The 17765-nt window shown below is 42.9% G+C and overlaps 1 long non-coding RNA gene and 1 other non-coding gene across 2 annotated transcripts in view, besides 2 other annotated features; both read left to right on the top strand.

Annotated features, from left to right (window-relative positions):
- Positions 1-17765, top strand: part of MIR3936HG (MIR3936 host gene) — a 58641-nt gene that overhangs the window by 1385 nt on the left and 39491 nt on the right. The window contains exons 2-4 of the long non-coding RNA NR_110997.1: positions 1751-1964; positions 3505-3597; positions 8416-8452. This is a non-coding gene — a long non-coding RNA (MIR3936 host gene). The remainder of the gene's footprint in view (positions 1-1750; positions 1965-3504; positions 3598-8415; positions 8453-17765) is intronic.
- MIR3936 (microRNA 3936) lies at positions 2933-3042 on the top strand. Its single transcript, NR_037500.1, has one exon. It is a non-coding gene; the product is annotated as a microRNA 3936 (primary transcript).
- Positions 10209-10258: an enhancer, noted in NCBI's record as "active region_23067". NCBI's record gives its function as "activates an Ori minimal core promoter by ATAC-STARR-seq in GM12878 lymphoblastoid cells {active_cell/tissue: GM12878}" and the evidence as "EXISTENCE:reporter gene assay evidence [ECO:0000049][PMID:35858748]".
- Positions 13211-13823: an enhancer, noted in NCBI's record as "NANOG-H3K27ac hESC enhancer chr5:131690402-131691014 (GRCh37/hg19 assembly coordinates)". NCBI's record gives its function as "activates a minimal SCP1, AML or CMV promoter by ChIP-STARR-seq in primed H9 embryonic stem cells {active_cell/tissue: H9 hESC(primed)}" and the evidence as "EXISTENCE:reporter gene assay evidence [ECO:0000049][PMID:30033119]".

Below are 17765 nucleotides of genomic sequence, written 5' to 3'. Positions count from 1 at the left end.
CTAGAGTGCAGTGGCACAATCATAGCTCACCGCAGCCCTGAACTCCTAAGCTTAAGTGGGCCTCCTGCCTCAGCCTGCTGAGTAGCTAGGACTACAGGCACATGCCACCGTGCCCAGCTAATTTTTTTATTTTTTTTATTTTACAGAGACAAGGCATCCCTGTGTTGCCCAGGCTGGTCTCAGACTCCTGGGTTTAAGCAATCCTCCCACCTCAGCCTCCCAAAATGCTGAATTACAGACGTGAGCCACTATGCCTGGCCAGACTCATTTTTTAAGTGCTCAGTAGCCACATGTAGCTATTGGTTATCTTATTGGACAGCACCATTCCTAAGGCCTTTAAGAATTTGGGCTGCTAAACTTAACAATGCAAGATATTCCTTTTTAAAATAGTAGTGGCTTAGTGATAGAAACAGAACTAAGTGTATATTTTTACAATATAATGTGTTGAGTAAAGAATATTTAATAGTCACTATATTATGAGTTGAAAATAAAGCTACAGAAAGGGAACCTAACCTGGCCAGCAGATTTTTAACAAGGAAATCTAAACATTTGCATAAAGCATAATAGACTTAAAAAAATTATGATAAAGATGTTATCACAGGACTTGTTTGTTTCTTTATACTTACTATTCACTATTCTTACTTCCTGAAGATGGATGGTTATACCTTCAGCAATGTACTTAAATCCTTCTAACATCTTATGTGAAGTTATAGTTCTTATCTAGAACTAACTGAAAAAGAAAGCAAAGCTTCTTGAAAATAAACTCCTTTTTTGTGTGCTAAAATATTATTTTAATGCTTCAAAAGAAATGAAAGCTTTTATGAGAAGAATGTTGACCTCTGTCCAGACCAAACAAGATGAAGAAGTCTTATTTTAACATTTGAGAAATATCAGTTGGGCATCAGATAACATTCCTGAAAGGGACTGAAAACAATGCAGTATACTACAAAAGAAGCTGCATATCCTTAGGAAGAAAAGAAACTATTTGTCATAGATGGCTTGTCCACATGCGCAAAGCAGAGAGCAACCTAAGATGGTGCCGTCCAGTTCCAGGTGCACTGTGATTACTATCTGAATGCCATTACTATTTAAATTGCATTTTTTTTTTGAGACAGGGTCTCCTTCTGTCACCCAGGCTGGAGTGCAGTGAGGTGGTCTTGGCTCACTGCAGCCTCAACCTCCTGGGCTCAAGCAATCCTCCCACCTGAGCCTTCCAAGTGCCTGGGACTACAGCCACGCGCCGCTACACCCAGCTATTTTTTTTGTATTTTTGGTAGAGACAGGGTTTTGCCATTTTGGCCAAGCTGGTCTCAAATTCCTGACCTCAAGTGATCCCCCCGTCTTGGCCTCCCAAAGTACTGGGATTATAGGTAGGAGCCACCATACCCAGCCTTAAATTTCATCTTTTAAAAGAGAAAGAGAGCTTAGAATCTTAATCAGTTACCTGAGGCCCTTTATCCTGCAATATTCTGAATTGGGATGTTCCTATTTTACATATTAAAAAATGTAAAACTGATTTATATGGTAGATAACCCTACAGTTCAGGGCTAGAACTTTAGATTAAATGCATTCATACCCTGGCAGATGTGGTAGCTTGCCTCCAAGATGGCACCCAATGAATGATCCCTGTACCAGGATTGGTCTATGTGACCAAAAGCATACAGCATTAGTGATGATACTTATATCACTTGGGTAATTACATTATAAAAGATGTCCATCATGGGTGTTCTTTTCCCTTTCTCTTGCTCAGAGACAAGCAAGCTGTCATGTTATAAGCAGCCCTTTGAGGGGTCCATGTGATGTCAAGGAATGAAGTCTCTAGCCAACATTTAATGAGGAACTGAGGCCCACCAACAACCTTGAGTGAGCTTGGAAGTAGCTCCTTCAGCATCAGTTGGGTGTCGAGATGACTACTGACAGCTTGACTGCAACTTCATGAGAGTCTTCTGGACCAGAACCACTCAGTTAAGTGGCTCCCAGATTCCTGATCCTCAGAAACTCTGAGAAATAATGAATGTTGGTTGTTTTAAAATGGTAAATTTTGAGGTATTATGTTATGTGGCAATAGATAGCTAATATATAAATTATTTGAATCAAACAATACGTTAAATTAAAGCTCAGAAGAATAAACATCTGTAATTCCTTAATTTGTTTTCCCTTCTATTCTACAGAATAGAATTTTACAGATGAACCTTGTAGTTACTTGTGCAATAAGAGACAGTATGTTGTATTGATTAAGTGCAGAGCCTCTGGATGTATGATAGAAGAAAGACCAATATTCAATTGCTTTCTTCTTCAATTCCAAGCTTGTGAGCTTGAGCAAATTTTAAAAGTGTTTTAAGCCTCAGTTTCCTGGGATGGTAGTGCTTAGCTCGAGCTCCTAGCATATATTAACTACAAACTAAATATTAGCTATAATTATTAGTTTTACTTTGATTATTGACTCTAAATAAATACCTTAAGAACTTTGTGTTCTCCACAGATTTGGATATGTCTGGACGTTATGTAGGCTGGAGTAGTCAGCAATTACTTGCCTGAGGAAGGGAAGGCCTCCTCCTTTAAGAAAAGAATAGGCTGGGTGCGGTGGCTCATACTTGTAATCCCAGCATTTTGGGAGGCTGAGGAGGGTGGATCACCTGAGGTCAGGAGTTTGAGACCAGCCTAAGGAACATGGTGAAACCCTGTCTCTACTAAAAATACAAAAATTAGCCAATTGTGGCACGCGCCTGTAGTCCCGGCTACTCAGGAGGCTGAGGTGAGAGGATTGCCTGAGCCTGGGAGGTGGAGGTTGCAGTGAGCCGAGATCGCGCCACTGCACTCCAGCCTGGGCAACAGAGTAAGACTCCGTCTCAAAAAAAAAAAAAAGAAAGAAAGAAAAGAGTAGAAGGCCCAAGCTTAGTCCAATATTATAGCTTCAGCATCAGAGTAGAGAATGATTCAGAGCATCTGTCCAGTGTCTGCTGTAGATCCCTCAAATCCGTGTTTGGACGCTTCTGGTAAGGGGTGTATGGCAGATGCACCCGACAGATGCACTTGGCAGCAATAACTTATGCATACCTGAAGAATGACCCTATGGTCTAAGAAGAATGTGTGTTCAGAGCTCCAAGCTAAGGAATCTGGGAGTGGCCAACCCAGATATTTCATTTCTTATCTATGACGAACTTCTGAACTGCTCCCACCCCCAGCCCATCCTGTAGAATGCAGGCCCTACGAGGCGATCAAAGCCCTTTGTTTTAGGTTAAATGAAGGTTGCCTGGTGGAGGTTGCTAGGGGAAAGGTGTTAAGTAAAAATGTTATATAAACTGCATGGTGTTTTTTGTTTGTTTTTGTTTTTTTGAGACAGAGTTTTTGCTCTTGTTGCCCAGGCTGGAGTGCAATGGTGCAATCTCGGCTCACTGCAACCTCCGCCTCCTGGGTTCAAGTGATTCTGCTGTCTCAGCCTCCCAAGTAGCTGGGATTACAGGTGCCCACCACCAGGCCCGGCTAATTTTTTGTATTTAGTAGAGTCAGGGTTTCCCCATGTTGGTCAGCCTGGTCTCAAACTCCTGACTTCAGGTGATCCACCTGCCTCAGCCTCCCAAAGCGCTGGGATTACAGGTATGAGCCACCACGCCTGGCCAATTGCATGCTTTTTACAAGGAGTTTTGGTTCTCCTGCCCAGCCCACTGCCACTGGACTGCCCTGTATTGTAAGTCCCCTCAATAAACCTTATGTCTCAGTTTCTGGTTCTAGGTCTCTTCTTCAGCCTCTTGAACATGGTGCCATCCCTACTGAAGTCAATGGGGTCTGACATGACTAGGGGAACTTGAACAAAATCTGAAATAGCTGTTTTTTTCTTGCCAAAATCACTGTAAGACATTATTTGCCTCAGCCCCAGAACATTGAATTATATGACCCAAGAGTGGAGAAACAGAGAAGTCTGTCTGTGTCATCAGACAATATCCCAAGTGGGATGTCATCACCCCAATGCATATTGGCATTTGGGCAGAGTAGAGCAGCGTCAGCCTAGCAAGACTTGGCACAATTCTGTTGGATTGCACAATAGAATGAGAAATCACATTTCTGCTGTTATGTGATTCTGCATTTTAACTCCAGTTTGTTTGGCCTGGACAGACAGGTAACTAGCCATGAAGACAATGGACCTTGAAACATTCTGAAGACTAGAAAAAGTATGTAATAAAATACTTTGAACAACTGTTTAAGGACTTAAATGTCCAGACTGTTTCTTTAGATGAGTGTAATTTCCAATGTGAAACCCCACAATTCGGCTTCAAGAGGTACAGGACAGTTTTTGAATTCCACAGAAAAAATTTTGCATTGCAACAAACTTGACCATCCTATTTGTGGTAGTAGAAATGTAAATTCATTCCCCTCAGAGATACCTGCAAAAATGAAATGTGAAATATTCTGCTTGCATTTTAAAGACTGGTTATTGCATTCTAGAATAGATGGAAAAGACATTAGTGAGGGCCAATATAGAAATATGAGTTTTCCCAAAAGACTTTTATGTATATATATGACATGGCAGGAAAATTGGGTCACTAGTGGTTTTTACTTCTTCGTTCATTTGGCAAACATATGAATAGACTGATGTGTGCCAAACACTGTTCCGAGTTCTGGGAACTGAGGAAAGAAACAAGCTATCTGTTTTCATGGAGCTCGTATTTTACTTGGAGGATGGAGAGGCTGACAATAAACTTGTACAAATAAATACAAACTTCAAGTAGTGGTAATTGCCAAGGTGAAAGAAAAGAGAGTAATGGTATAGAATGACAGTCATTGGGTAGCTGCTTTAGATGAATGGTAAGTGAACATGTTTCTGAGAAAGTGATATCTGAGCTGAGAGGCAAAGGACGAGAAGGAATCTGTCATGTGAAGATCTGGGAAGCAGGTGTACTAAGCAGAAGAGCAGCAAGTACAAAGACTGTGAGGTAAGGGATGTGCTCGGGGTGACTAAGTAACGGAGAGAAGACCAGCGTGACTAGAACATAGTGATCAAAGTGAGTAATGTTGGAACATAAGTCAGAGACATTGGCAGGAGGCCAGTTTTTATGGAAGCCAAATTGTCTAGTGCCTTGTAGATAGTGGCAAGGAGTTTGGATTTTATTCTAGATGGAACACTACCAGAATATTTTTTCTTTTTTGAGACAGGGTCTCACTGTCACCCAGGCTGGAGTGCAGTGGCATGATCTTGACTCTCTGCAACTTCTGCCTCCTGGGCTTAAGTGATCCTCACACCTCATCTTCCCCAGAAGCTAGGACTACACGCACCACACCTGGCTAATTTTTGTATTTTTTGTAGAGATGGGATTTTGCCATGTTGCCCAGGCTGGTCTTGAATGCTGCCCACTTTGGCCTCCCAAAGTGCTAGGATTATAGGTGTGGGCCACCGTGCCTGGCCTATCAGAGTATTTTCAGGCAGAGAAAAGCATAAGGTCTTACTTCTAGCATAAAAGGAACATTCTGGCTGCTATATAGAGAAGGGACTGTAGAGGACAAGAATGAAAGCAGGTTGACTGATTAGAAAGCATTGCAGCATTATAGGCAAGAGCTTATGATGGCCTGAACTAGAGTGGTAACTGTGGAAGAGATAAATGGATGAATTCAGAATATTTTTGGAGGAAAAAGGTGACATGATTTACTATTGGATGTGGGCATGAGGGAAGGAAATTAAGGATGACTCCTGGATTTTTAGCCTGAGCAACTTTATAGCTTTTCATGTTTGTTTTTGAAATGGGGAGATTTGATGGGGTGGGGGTTTGGGAAATTAAGAGTTTTTTATTTTTATTTTTTGCTTTTTAAAAATTGTGGTGAAATACACATAACATAAAATTTACCATTTTAACCACTCTTAAGGGCATTAAGTACATTCACATTGTGCAACCATCACCATCATCCATCTGTAGAGAACTCTTTTCATCTTGCAAAATTGAAACTCTGTACCTATTAAACACTAACTCCCCACTCCCCTCCTTACCCTAGCCCCGAAAACCCTTCTATAATACAGAAGTCTCTATGAATTTGACCACTCTCATAAGTGGAATCACATAGTATTTGTCCTTTTGTGACTCGCTTTTATTGTCACTTAGCATAATGTCTTCAAGGTTCATCCATGTTGTAGCATATGTCAGAATTTCCTTCCTTTTTAAGACTGAATAATATGCCATTATATATGTATACTACATTTTGTTTACCCATTCATCCACTGATGGACACTTGGGTTGCTTCCATCTTTTGCCTGTTGTGACTAATGCTGCTGTGAACATGTATGTACAAGTATCTATTTGAGTACTTGCTTTTAATTCTTTGGGTATATACCCAGAAGTGGAATTGCTGGATCATGTGGTAATTCTATGTTTAATTTTTTTAAGGAATTGCCATACTGTTTTCCCCGGTAGCTGTACCATTTTACATTCCCACCAACAGTGCACAAGAGTTCCAGTTTCTCCACGTCCTCGCCAATACTTGTTATTTTCTGTGGTTTTGCTGTTGTTGTTGTTTTGTTTGTTTTTGTTTTTTTACAGAAGCTATCCTAATGGGTATAAAGTGGTATTTCATTGTGGTTTTATTTGCATTTCCCTAATTATTAATTATGTTGAGCATCTTTTCATGTGCTTATTGGCAATTTATATATTTTCTTTGGAGAAATGTCTACTCAACTCTTTTGCCCATTTTAAAATCAGGTTTTTTTTTTGTTGTTGTTGAATTGTAGGAGTTCTTTACATATTTGGGATATGAACCACTTATCAGATACATGATTTGCAAATATTTTCTCCCATTCTATGCCTTTTCACTATTGATTATATCCTTTTACGCACAGAAGTTTTACATTTTTGATGTAGCCCAATTTTTCTATTTTTTCTTTTGTTGCCTGTGCAAGAGTTTTATTTTAAATGCAATTTTGGGATGTCTATTAGACATCCAAGTCAAAATGTCAAATAGACGGCTGGATATATGAGTCTGAAGGTCATAAAAGAGATCAGAATGAGATATAAATTAGGGAATCATTCACATATAGATGGTATTTAAGGCCATGGGTCTGGACAGAATCACCCAGGAGAGAAGTCATATAGGAACACATAGGTTTCCCTAGGGAATACAGTCATCTTAGAGTAAAATTCCATCGAAGGAGATCAGGAGGTCTTGGCTGAGTTAAATTTGGATAATATAAGTTATTAACTATGTTAATGTGTTCTAAGCTAGATGCCAGGTTAAGGCAGAAATTAGGAGGTCCTGGGCAAGTATCAATTTGCTCTGCTATTGTATTATTACAAGAATAATACTAACAATAGTACATGACCTCATTTCATCCTCACAATAGCTTTACGCGATTGATATTCTTGTCTTCACTTTACAGGCAAAGAAACAAAAGAGAAGTAAAGTAATTTACCCAGTTGCTATAGTTAGCATGTGGTAGGTCCATATTAGAGGTCTGGTCTGTCTGCATGATGGTTAATTTTATGAGATAGCAAGTAAAACATTATTTGTGTCTGTGTCTGTGTCTGTGAGGATGTGTTCGGAGAGGTTCACAAGCATTTGAATCAGTAGACGGAGCAAATAAGGTCCGCCCTCACCAATGTGGGCAGGCATCATCCAATTCACTGAGGACTCCTGCTCACACAGAACAAAAAGTCAGAGGATGTGCCTATAGTTCCAGCTTCTTGGAAGGCTGCGGCAGGAAGATGCTGGGGCCCAGGAGTTTGAGGCCAGCCAGGGCAACATAGCAAGACCTTTCTCTTTAAAAAAATTTTTTTTGGCTGGGTGCAGTGGCTCATGCCTGTAATCCCAGCACTTTGGGAGGCCGAGGCAGGCGGATCATGAGGTCAGGAGATCGAGACCATCCTGGCTAACATGGTGAAACCCCGTCTCTACCAAAAATACAAAAAATTAGCCGGGCGTTGTGGTGGGCACCTGTAGTACCCGCTACTCAGGAGGCTGAGGCAGGAGAATGGAGTGAACCCCGGAGGCGGAGGTTGCAATGAGTGGAGATTGCACCACTGCACTCCAGCCTGGGCGACAGATCAAGACTCCGTCTCAAAAAAAAAAAAATTTTTTTTTAAGGCATAGGAAGGGCAAATTCTCTCATTCTCTCTCTTCTTGAGCTGGGACATCCATTTTCTCCTGCCTTCAGGAAATCAGAGCTCCATGTTCTTGGATCTCCCGACTCTGGGACTTACACCTTACCCTTTTCCCCTCAGTCTTTCAGACTTGGACTGAATTACACCATCACCTTTCCTGGTTCTCCAGCTTGCAGATAGCATGTCATGGGACTTCTTAGCCTCTGTAATCATATGAGCCAGTTCATATAGTAAATCTCCTCCTATTGATCTATACCTATATCTGTAATCCTATTAGTTGGGTTTCTTTGGAAAACTCTAATACCCCCTTATCCACAGTTTTTTTTTTTTTCTGCAGTTTCAGTTATCTACGGCCAACTGGGTAAACCAAATAGGTGAGTACAGTACAATAAAATATTTTGAGAGAGAGATGCACATTTGCATGACTTCTATTACAGCATATTGTTATAATCATTCTATTTTATTAGCTATTGTTAGTCTCTTATTCTGCATAATTTATAAATTAAATTTTATCTTAGGTACGTATGTATGTATGTATAGGAAAAAACCTAGTATATATAGTGTTCAGTACTATCTGAGGTTTCAGGAATCCCCTGGTGTTCTTGGATTGTAGCCCCCTGCCTTCAAGCCTGCACTCTCAATTACTGATGCTACATCTCATTACCCTGAAAGATGAAATCTAGCCTTGAGCCCTTACCAACTGGCTGCATTAGATCATTTTAGATCTCCATGTCACCGCAGTCACATTTGTGTGTGGTGAATGGTCCAGGAGAGATGGTGCTATTCCTGCCACCTTCATTAGCCTGGCTTGCATTCTCTTCTGAACACTTGGGTCTTATTAACACTGTGCCAGGTTCTCATATACCCCAAATAAAGAAAAAGAAAGTAGATGGATACAGTGTACATACTAGGCCCAACAGAAGTTATGCTTTTACTCCCTTTCCTCTTCAATTTAGATACTACTATGGCCCTTTGCTTCCGTCTATCTCAGTTCCTTCGTTGTCTTATCATTCCATTCACCTCTACTGCAAGGCCCTAAATCCAACCATTTGGTCACTGTACTCCTACCCTGGGTCACTGGAGGAAATCACACAACCATGTGAGTTGGTGTCTTGACACATTTACATTTCCAATCACAATTGGACCCTCAGCCCACTTGTTACTCTCTCAACCCATGTTTCCTTGCACCCATCAACAGCCCCCCTTCTTTCTTGTATCTTAAGTCAGCATCCTGGATTGAGAGTGAAGAGTAAAATGGTTTGACTTATTGTGAGCTTAGCCTTTGCAAGACTAGTAAACAAAAGGACTGGGGTAGTGGCAAGAGTATGAATGGGCTGGAGGGATCACAAGGTATAAACTGAAAGGGAAAGGAAATGATATCAGGTGAGAGCTGAAGAGTTGGGAGGAAAACAAAGGTCCTAGAGTGAGATGGAGCTGTTGTGACTGATGAGAGGCCCAGGGTGTGTCCTCAGCAGCAAGAGTGTGAAGTATAGGTGAAGGTCAAGTACTGCGAGGCTAAGGTGTAGCACTACTCATCTTCCTGAGCACAAAAGTCACCAGCACCTTGGGCTGGGTGTCAGAGAGCTCACAGAATGTGGATAACCAACCAGGCAGATGTTGGTAACAGCAACCAGGAGGGCACAGCACAAACCTGAGCAGGTCTTTTATGTATGTGAAGGTGAAGGAGTTATGATTTAGAAATGGCAGTGGGAAGCAAGGAGAATGCTGAGAGCCTGCTCAGCTCTTGTCTTCCAGGATCATGGATAGTGCAAAATGAGTAGCCTTCCTTTGAGAGACAGAGCCATGAGGCTAGTGGAGTGCTCAGAAAGAAGCCAGATCTCTATCAAGGAAAGGAGATGGAGAGAACAACCAGGGATGTACTTGAAAGAGGAGAGTTGCATGTCTACAATGGAATATGTGTTGCAGAGGACTCAGTCACAGAGAAGACAACTGCAGGAGGGTGAGCTGGAGGGCTCTGCAGGGGCAGGAGCACAGTAGGGCATTAGAATGGGAGTTTTAGATGAGAAGGATTACATTTGCAGTGCTGGAGGAAGATCATCTCAAGGTTCACAAAATCAAGCTTTAAACTTGTCTGTGTCAACAGACGGAGGCATTGGGTGATAGTTCAAATCCCCATAATTTTTTATAATCCTTTCAGCAGTCTGTTAAATATAACCTTGGTGATAAGCTAAGTTACCTCAGCATAGCAAGCTTGGCTTGGTCTAAATCAGGGTAGAGGTGATTGCTGCTCAAAGGAAGTGAGAGAGACACCCAGCTCTGGATTGGAGAACATGACTTTGACCTGGGTTTCAGCCTCCACAGGGCTAAGCCCCAGGGGAGCACTGGGCAAGTTGCTAAGGCCACAAGCAGGAGTTTATAACCAGGCTAGACTAAGCCCACTGATGCAAGAATTTTTTTTTTTTTTTTTTGAGACAGAGTCTCACTCTGTCACCCGGGCTAGAGTGCAGTGGTGTGATCTTGGCTCACTGCAACCTCCGCTTCCCTGGTTCAAGTGATTCTCCTGCCTCAGCCTCTCAAGTAGCTGGGATTACAGGCACCCGCTACCATGCCTGGCTAAATTTTGTATTTTTTTAGTAGAGACAGGGTTTCACCGTGTTGGCCAGGATGGTCTTGAGCTCCTGACCTCAAGTGATCCACCTGCCTTGGCCTCCCAAAGGGCTGGGATTACTGGCTTGAGCCACCATGCCCAGCCTGATGCATGAATTTGCATTCTTCATGCTCTTCATCTATGCTTCTGAAGACCTGGCACTTAGTCAACACTCAGTAAGTTTTTATTTTTTAACTGCTTTATGATTATAAAAGTAATATATGAAGCATTTGTAAAGTATGGAAATCTGGAAAAAATAAAACAGAAGTCATCTATAATCTGACCATCCAAACATACCTACTGTTAATACCTTAGTCTACGTTCTTTCTTTTTTTCCTTTTTTTGAGATGGAGTCTTGCTGTGTTGCCCAGGCTGGAGTACAATGGCATGATTTCGGCTCACTGCAACCTCTGCCTCCCAGGTTCAAGCAGTTCTCCTGCCTCAGCCTCCCAAGTAGCTGGGCTTACAGGCATCCACCACCATGCCCTGGTAATTTTTGTATTTTTAGTAGAGATGGGGTTTCGCCATGTTGGCCAGGCTGGTCTCAAACTCCTGACCTCATGTGATCTGCCCGCCTCAGCCTTCCAAAGTGCTAGGATTACAGGTGTGAGCCAATGCGCCTGGCCTTTTTTTTTTTTTAAGACAGTTTTGCTCTTTTTGCCCAGGCTGTAGTGCAGTGGTGTGATCTTGGCTCACTGCAACCAGGTTCAAGTGATTTTCCTGCCTCAGCCTTCTGAGTAGCTGGGACTACAGACGCCACCATGCCCAGCTAATTTTTTTGTATTTTTAGTAGAGATGGGGGTTTCACCATATTGGCCAGGTTGGTCTCCAACTCCTGACTTTGGGTGATCCGCCCACGTTGGCCTCCCAAAGTGTTGGGATTACAGGCATGAACCACTGTGCCCAGCTGAGCCTACTTTCTTCTGGTCTTTTTCTCATGCCTCCCCACCACCACCCCAGCCCCCCGCCATTACATACGTATATATGTTTATTTTTTTTTTAAAGAGATGAAGTCTTGCTCTGTTGCCCAGGCTGGTAGGCTGATCTCAAACTCCTGGCTTCAGGTGATCCTCCTGTGTTGGCCTCCCAAAGTGCTGTTGTTACAGGCATAAGCCATCACACCTGGCTATTTTTCACGCTTTAAAAACTCACTTTATTCATTCATTTATTCACTCATTCTTTGATTAACACTCATATACTGGTTTTATTTTATTATTTTATATTTTTAGCTACAGGGTCTCACTCTGTGCCCGAGGCTGGAGTGCAGTGGCATGATCATGACTCTGCAACCCCGAACTCCTGGGCTCAAGGGATCCTCCCAACTCAGCCTCCCAAGAAGTTAGGATTACAGGCACATGCTACCACACCCTGCTAATTTTTTTAAATTAATTTTTTTCTTCCTTTTTTTTTTTTTTTTTTTTTTGTAGAACCAGTGTGTGTTAGGCCATTCTTGCATTACTATAAAGAAATACCTGAGACTGGGTAATTTATTAAGAAAAGAGGTTTAATTGACTCACGATTTCACAGGCTGTATAGGAAGTGTGGCACTAGGCATCTGCTCAGCTTCTAGGGAGGCCTCAGGGAGCTTTTACTCACAGTGGAAGGTGAAGGGGGAGCAGGTGTGTCACATGGTAAAGACAGGAGCAAGGTGGGGGGAGGTGCCACACCCTTAAACAACCAGATTTCTCAAGAACTCACTTATTATGGTGGGGACAGCTCCAAGCCATGAGGGATCTGCCCCCATGACCAAAACACCTCCCAGCAGGCCCCACCTCCAACATTAGAGATTACATTTCCACATGCGATTTGGACAGGGATAAATATCCAGACTATGTCATTTTGCCCCTGGCCCTCCTAAATCTCATGTCCTTCTCAAGTTGCAAAATACAATCATGCCTTCCCAAGAGTTCCCCAAAGTCTTAACTCATTCCAATGTTAACTCCAAAGCCCAAAATTCAAAGTCTCATCTGAGACAAGGCAAGTCTCTTCCACCTATGAGCCTATAAAATCAAAAACAAGCTATATACTTCCAAGTTACAATGGGTGTATAGGCATTGGGTAAACATGCCCATTCCAAAAGAGAAATTGGCCAAAAGAAAGGGGCTACAAGCTCCATGCAAATTCAAAACCCAGCAGGGCAATTATTAAATTGTAAAGCTCCAAAGTAATCTTCTTTGACTCCGTGTCCCATATCCAGGGCTCACTGGTGCAAGAAGTGGGCTCGCAAGGCCTTGGGAAGCTTCGCCCCTGTAGTTTGCATAGTACAGCCTCCACAGCTGCTCTTATGGGCTAGAGTTGAGTGCCTGTGGCTTTTCCAGGCACAGGGTGCAAGCTGCCAGTGGATCTACCATTCTCAGGTCTGGAGGGTGGTGACCCCTTTCTCACAGCTCCACCAGGCAGTTCCCCAGTGGAGACTGTGTGGGGCCTTCAACCCCACATTTCCCCTCCAAACTGCCCTAGTAGGGGTTCTCTGTGAGGGTTCCACCCCTACAGCAGGCTTCTGCCTGGGTACCCTGGCTTTCTTGTACATCCTCTGAAATCTAGGTAGAGGCTGCCAAGCCTCCTTCACTCTTACAGTCTGCATGCCTGCATGCTTAACACCACATGGAAGCTGCCAAAGCATATGGCTTTTGCTCTTTGGAGCAGCAGCCTGAGCTGTACCTGAGGCCCCTTGAGCCACAGCTGGAGCTGGAACAGCCTGGATGTAGGGAGCACTGTCCTAAGGAGGCTGTGCAGAGCCATGGGGTCCTAGGCCTAGCCCATGAAATGATTCTTCCTCCTAGGTCTCTGGGCCTGTGCCTGTGATGGCAAGGGCTGCCCCTGAGATCTCTGAAATGCCTTCAAGGCCTTTTTCCCATTGTCTTAGCTATTAGTACCTGGCTCTCTTTTAGTTATTCAAATTTCTCTAGCAAGTGGTTGCTCCACAGCCTGCTTGAATTCCTCTACTGAAAATGCTTCTGCTTTCTCTATCACATGGCCAGGCTGCAAATTTTCTAAAGTTTTACACTCTGCTTCCCCTTTAAATATAACTTCTAACTTTAAGTCATTTTTTTTGCTCTCACATCTGAGTTAAGCTGTTAGATGCAGCCATGTAACTTCTTGAACACTTTGCTGCTTAGAAATTTCCTCTGCCAGATACCCTAGTTGTCACTCTGAAGTTCAAACTTCCACAGATCCTTACAGCATGAACAAAGTGCAGCCAAGTTCTTTGCTAGGCCATAATGAGGGTGGCCTTTGCTCCATTTCTAGGTTCCTCATTTCCATCTGAGACCTCATCAGCCACGCCTTCACTTTCCATATCACCATCAGCATTCTGGTTACAACCATTTGACCAGCCAAGTACTATTCTAACTTCTGAGAATACAGAAGTGCTCCTCATGGAACTTACAGTCTAGTGGAGGAAGAAGGACAATAAATGCAACAAAGAAGTAAATTAGTCAGGATGTCAGAGAGTGATAAGTCCCATGGAGAAAAATGAAGCAGGAGAAAAATGAAGCAGGGATGCATAAAGTTAGTTCAGAGAGAGAACAGGATACAATTTTAAATAGTGTGGTCAGATAAGGGTTTATTAAGGAGGTGGCATTTGGGCCAAGACACTAAGGAAGTAAGAGAACAAGCTATGTAGATAGCTGGGAAGAGCATTCCTAGGAAGAGGGAACAAGTATCTAATAGAGAAGCATGTCTAGTATGTTCAAAGAATAGCAAAGCCTTGGTAGCCTTAATGAAGAAAGCAATGGAGAGAGTAATAAGAGATGATGTCAGCGAGCTAAAGGAGGGCATGAAGATTAGAGTAGGGCCCTATAAACTGGATGACCACTGTCAAATGAAATTAAGGCTGTTGAGGCAGAAATGATTTGATAAAAGTTTATTGGAAGCCAAATGTGAGGATGAACCCAGGAAAACACACCAACAAAGTTGAGAGTGTTCTGGAGTCTGTTACAAGTTGGAAAGTTAGAAGACAGGAGGGGGACTCTTCATACAGGAGTTGTCCTTTTTCACTGGAGGGTACAATACAAAGGTTACAATAATTGGCTACAGATTGCAACATGCAGACTAACATGTCTACATGCAAGACAATCAGTAAAATGTTATGACTCAGAAATAAATCAGTGTCCTTTTCAGTGTCAGTAGGTGGTGCATTGATCAGTACATCAACAATTTGAGGAACTTCTAAGATTCCTTACTCAGGACAAGGTATCGCCATGAATCACAAGACCTTCCCAAGATGGGTTAATTTGGAAGCTGTTTACTTTTAAAGTAAACTGTCAAATGTGACCTGTAGGTTATTGCCATATATAATTTGTCATCCAAATTAGGAGACTTCTAGAATGAAAGTTGGAGGTGAGGGTTATTAATCATTAACACTAGGGCTGGTTGCCGTGGCTCACGCTTGTAATCCCAGTACTTTGGGAGGCTGAGGCAGGCAGATCACGAGGTCAGGGGATTGAGACCATCCTGGCCAACATGGTGAAACCCCGTTCTCTACTAAAAAATACAAAAAAAAAAAAAATTTAGCTGGGCATGGTGGCACATGCCTGTAATCCCAGCTACTCAGAAGGCTGAGGCAGGAGAATTGCTTGAACCAGGGAGTCGGAGGTTGCAGTGAGCTGAGATCATGCCACTGCACTCCAGCCTGGCAACAGAGCGAGACTCCGTCTCAAAAAAAAAAAAAAAAAAAGTTAACACTAGTTCAGTGGAGAGAAGCCAGGACTGTGCTGGACAAACTCTGACGTGTAATCATTCTACTTATAGACCATTGTAAGGACTTGGGCTTTCAAAAAATCTGACTGAGATGGGAAGCGATTGGAAGGTTTTGAGCAGAAAAGTAACATGATGTGATTGAGATATCCCTGACTACTATGCTGAGAGTAGATTGAAGGGGCGTAGGAGCAGCCTTAATGAAGAAGGATTGGCTGGGGGCTAACAGAATGCAGGGAAGAAACTGGATTCTGCATATGTTGAAATTATGGCAAAAGATTTTATTGACAGATTGGATGTGGAGTACAAGAGGAAGAGCAGCCAGGAAAATAAAGTTTCCATTTACTGAGTTGGGGAGGACTTCAGGAAGAGCAGATTTGGGATGAAATTAGGAGCACATGTTAAATTTGACATGTTATGTTTGAGACACCTATTATATATCCAAGTGAGGATATCAAGTGGGCAGTTATTATGTGAGCCTGGAGTTCACTCTCTCTATGTGTTGGTGGTCATCAGTGCAGAGATGATATTTAAATCATGAGACTGGATTTTTTAAAAAGGAAGAGGACTGAAGACTAAGTTCTGGGCACTCCAATTTTGGGCAGTAGCGGAGATGAAGAAAAACCAGCACACTAGATGGTAAAGGAGCAGCCAACAAGGTAAGAGGAAAACCAAGCAAGTGTCATTTTTGTTGATTTTTTTGATACAGAGTCTCACTCTGTCACTCAGGCTGGAGTGCAATGACACAATCTCGGCTCACTATAACCTCTGCCTTCTGGGTCCAAGTGTTTTTCTTGCCTCAGCTTCCCAAGTAGCTGGGACTGCAGGTGTGTGCCACCACGCCTGGCGCAAGTGTCATGTAGAAAGCAGTTCAAGGATGAAAGAGAAATGAGTTTGTCAAATGCCTTGAGAGGTCAGGTAAGATGATGACTGTGAATTGACTATTGAATTCAGAAACATGCAGGTCACTGCGGACCTTGATAGAGGTGCTCTGGTGAAAGGTGAGGGCTAAAGCTTAATTGTAGTGGGGCCAAGTGAAAATTGGAAGAACAAAGTTGAAAGTAGCAAGTAGATATAGCAATCTTCCAAGGAGTTTCACTGCTAAGGGACAGGGAGAAATGGGGCAGGAGCTGACAGCAGAAACTGGGTCAAGAGAGAGCTTTTACAGCCTCTTTGCATACTGAATGGGAAAGATCCAGTAGAGAGGGAAAAGATTTATGATGGGGGAGTCAGGAGAATTGCTAGAGCAACATGTGCTCCTAATTTCATCCCAAATCTGCTCTTCCTGAAGTCCTCCCCAACTCAGTAAATGGAAACTTTATTTTCCTGGCTGCTCTTCCTCTCGTACTCCACATCCAATCTGTCAATAAAGTCTTTTGCCATAATTTCAACATATGTAGAATCCAGTTTCTTGCCTGTATTCTGTTAGCCCCCAGCCAATCCTTCTTCATTAAGGCTGCTCCTACGCCCCTTCAATCTACTCTCAGCATAGTAGTCAGGGCTATCTCAATTACATCATGTTACTTTTCTGCTGTTGGTAAGGGAGTAGGGGGTGGGGGAGGGGTAAGAAGTATATAAGGCTGGGGCCGGGCACAGTGGCTCACACCTATAATCCCAGCACTTTGGGAGGCTGAGGCAGGCCAATCACTTGAGCCCAGGAGTTCAGTACTAGCCTAGCCAACATGGCAAAACCCTGTCTCTACTAAAAATACAAAAATTAGCTGGGTATGGTGGTGCATGCCTGTAATCCTAGCTACTTCGGAGGCTGAGGCATGAGAATCGTTTGAACCTGGGAGGCAGAGGTTGCAGTGAGCCACTGCACTCCAGCGGGGAGGAGAGACCATTCAGGAGAAACGGGAGAAAAGACAGAGGGTGTGGGTACAGATGGAGTTAGGCTGGTGGATTATGCTGCTTGTAGAGGTTCTCTCCATTGCTTCTATTTTCTAGGTGAAATAGGAAGCCAAGGCACAGCTGAGGGTGATCATGGGGGAGGAGGTGATGGAGTTCTGAAGAGAAAGAAGGTCTTCCAGGATAGAGAATGAACCAGGGCAATTAGGATCCTCTTGAAGTCACTGATGGTCAGTTTAAAGTGAAACCAGTCAGATGGAATATATTTTCCATCTACATTTGGCTATGCAGGTGCTAGCAAGAAGTAGGAGGGAGGTTAGATTTAACCAGCTTTATAGTTTCCCACAAAAGCAAGGCAGATAAGAAAGGGGCAAGGAAGATGATTATGATGATTAAGCATGGAATTTAAGCTGGCCAAGAAGGGGTGTGAGGACATGAGTAAGATGAGAGATAGCAAAAACGTGGACATCTTTGCCAGGTATGGAGCCAAACACAGTATGCATTGTCTCATGTAATCCCCACCCAAATGGAAT

The sequence above is a fragment of the Homo sapiens genome, chromosome 5 (genome assembly GCF_000001405.40).
Source record: "Homo sapiens chromosome 5, GRCh38.p14 Primary Assembly".
In the NCBI taxonomy this organism is placed as follows: domain Eukaryota; kingdom Metazoa; phylum Chordata; class Mammalia; order Primates; family Hominidae; genus Homo; species Homo sapiens.
This window is presented reverse-complemented; position numbering and strand designations above follow the sequence as displayed.